At 42.9% G+C, this 2,718-nt stretch overlaps 1 annotated feature.

Annotated features, from left to right (window-relative positions):
* Positions 457 to 751: an enhancer, noted in NCBI's record as "tiled region #6729; K562 Activating non-DNase unmatched - State 7:EnhWF, and HepG2 Activating non-DNase unmatched - State 22:ReprW". NCBI's record gives its function as "activates a minimal TATA promoter and a strong SV40 promoter by Sharpr-MPRA in K562 cells, with weaker activation in HepG2 cells {active_cell/tissue: HepG2 | K562}" and the evidence as "EXISTENCE:reporter gene assay evidence [ECO:0000049][PMID:27701403]".

Raw genomic sequence — 2,718 nt, 5'->3', positions numbered from 1 at the left:
ATTACTCTGGCTAGGACTTCCTGCTATTTTTTCTTTGAAAGTATTTTATCTTTGAAAATAGTTTTTGAATAGAACTATTTTATAGGTCCACTAATATAAACCAATTTACTGGTCAAGAAATAAATCTTTTAGAAAAGTTAACATTCTAATTTTTCTGCCCTCCTTAACTGTCAAAGTATCTTGATTTAGAAAACATATGGTTACCCTAATAATGATAATAATAGCCAACATTTATCAAGCATTTGTTGTGAGCCCAGCACTTTGCAGGTATTAGCTCATCTGACTCACAAAACAAGCCTATGAGGGCAGTAACGTTAGTATCAACCAACTTAACTGATGAGAAAAGTGTACCTTTAGGTGGTTTGGCCACTTATCTAAGGTCATGTGGCTTCACAAGCCTCTAAACTCAGGCCTTGTCTGACTCTCAGACCAGGACATTTTAACTGATCCAGTAGATAAGTTCACCATCGATTCTGATTTAAAAAGGAAAATTGCCCAGTGATGTTTCTAGGAATGAGCCCAGATCTCTGATGTAACCATCAGAAACCTGCTGCCTCCAAACATGACTAATTTGTGGTGCTCACCATGGCTGATGAGCAATCTTCGCATCCTGGCACTGCTAATAAGGGGTCACAGAAAAGTCTGTTCAGCCTCCAACAGTTATTAATCACCAACTCTATTTGTGCAAGTCCCTGTGGGGTTACAAAGGGACAACAGATCTTGCTCCTGCTCCCCAGACTTTTCCTTGAGTGAGGAAGTAAGTGGTGACATGTGCCACTTAAGTCCCCCCAGGGTAATGTCACCTTCCTCCATCTTGCAGGGGCTCTCCTCTGGCTGAGAAACAGAGAGAGAGGCAGACAGAGGGAGAGATGTAGACAGTGACCTGCAGCATGAGGTCTTATACCTTTGTCACAGATACGACACTATGTGCTAATGAAGACATCTACCCTATAATACCCAGCATGAATGTTAGAGAAAGACAAAAAGTGTTTATCAACCCTTCTGGCAGAAAAATGCACCCCCTCCCCTTTTCTTAGAAACAGGGTCTTGCTCTGTCACCTAGGCTACTGTGCAGTTGTATGATCATAGCTGAGTACAGCCTCAAACTCCTGGGCTCAAATGATCCTCCTGCCTCAGTCTCCCAAGTAGCTGGGACTGTAGGTGTGTGCCCCAATGCCCAGCTACTTTTTAAATTTTTTGTAGAGACGAGGTTTCGCTATGTTGCCCAGGCTGGTTTCAAACTCCTGGTCAAATGATCCTTCCGTTGCAGCCTCCCAAAGTGCTGGAATTACAGGCATGAGCCACTGTGGCCGGCTGAAAATTCTTGGATGTTATCATTTCACTATTAGTATGTGCTGTGGACTGTATCTTATAAACAAATAAAGGCACATAGTTGCTTGAATAACTGGCTAAAGGAATTTGCTCCAGAGAGACTAACAAATCAGGAAAACTCATGAAAACTTATTCCATTCCAAAACTCATGATGTTGCACAGAAGAGATGTGCTTTACTCTAGCATGTAAGATCTTTCCCTTAGAAAAGGGATCATGACATCATGATGTTTATAGATTACACCAAATCAAATTTAAATATGAACCATAAGGATCATAATCAGTCCATAGGTATGATACATCTACTAAGTACTCAATTTGGTGCTTTCAAAATTCCCTTATTTACTCTATCACAAATTGGCCATGTATTGAGAGAAGGCACAAAATGGAACCTTCTGGTTGGAGGATTAGCCTCTCTTCTTTGGTATCCCCCAGTGGCCTTAGCTCAGAGCCTTCTGGTAGACGTCCAACTATTACTAAATAAACACAATTACTGCATATTTCTGATACCAACTCGTCCTTGGCAGTCTGAGAAGGGATTTCTTGAAAAGTCATTAAAAGTCTGATTTCAGAACTCATTTCTAGGCAGTCCTTATATAGGGGAGGATTGCACACGATGGGGTTCTTTTATAGAGCTGGCAAAGAGAAATTTAGGAAATTCCCATCAGCAGCTATAAAGAAGAGTGAGACCCATTGCTTTTTTTTCCCCCTCCTCTAAAATAGCTCTTCCTAAAGATGTAAATAGATCCCTTCTAATGCCCTAAAACAGAAAAAGAAACAGCTTTTTGTGGAGTTATCAAGCCATTCAGTTGCCTGGGTTTAACATGGCTAACATGTGGGGAGGATGAAAAATCTATGATCAATTGTCTCCCCATTTGAGTCCTCCTTCCTCAAAGCCATCATGGTAATAATGACTGCAGTAGCAGCTGTGACTCGCTCCCAGATTCCTGTTCAGTACTAAGACGCCCAGCCTCCAGCTGCCGGGAGCATTAGATGCCGAAGGCTCACAGTTCTGTGTCTTCAGGTCTTGCGCTCAGCTGAAGGGAGCTGACCTGCTCAAGATTTCGTCCCTCCCCAAGAGCAGCCCACAATACAACAGCTGGTTGGTGCCGGGGTACAGAGGCCTGGACAATTTTGGAGGGCCATCCCAGCTCCCTGGAGCATCTTCAGAGGCCTTGTATGGCAACTGCATCATAGTTCAACTTCTCCCTCTGTCAAATCCTGTGTACCTCCCAGCTCACAGGTGTTGATCCTGCAAGCACTTTCCAAACAAATGACCTGCATACACTTCTCCATCTCAGAGTCGGCTTCCTGGGCAAACTGACTTAAGACATTGAACATGAACAGGAAACCTGGGACGTCCCAGGATCTTCATATGCTTCATATCT

The sequence above is a fragment of the Homo sapiens genome, chromosome 2 (assembly GCF_000001405.40).
Source record: "Homo sapiens chromosome 2, GRCh38.p14 Primary Assembly".
NCBI classification, from domain to species: Eukaryota; Metazoa; Chordata; class Mammalia; order Primates; family Hominidae; genus Homo; species Homo sapiens.
The sequence above is the reverse complement of the archived record's forward strand: the minus strand, read 5'-3'. Positions and strand labels throughout refer to the sequence as shown.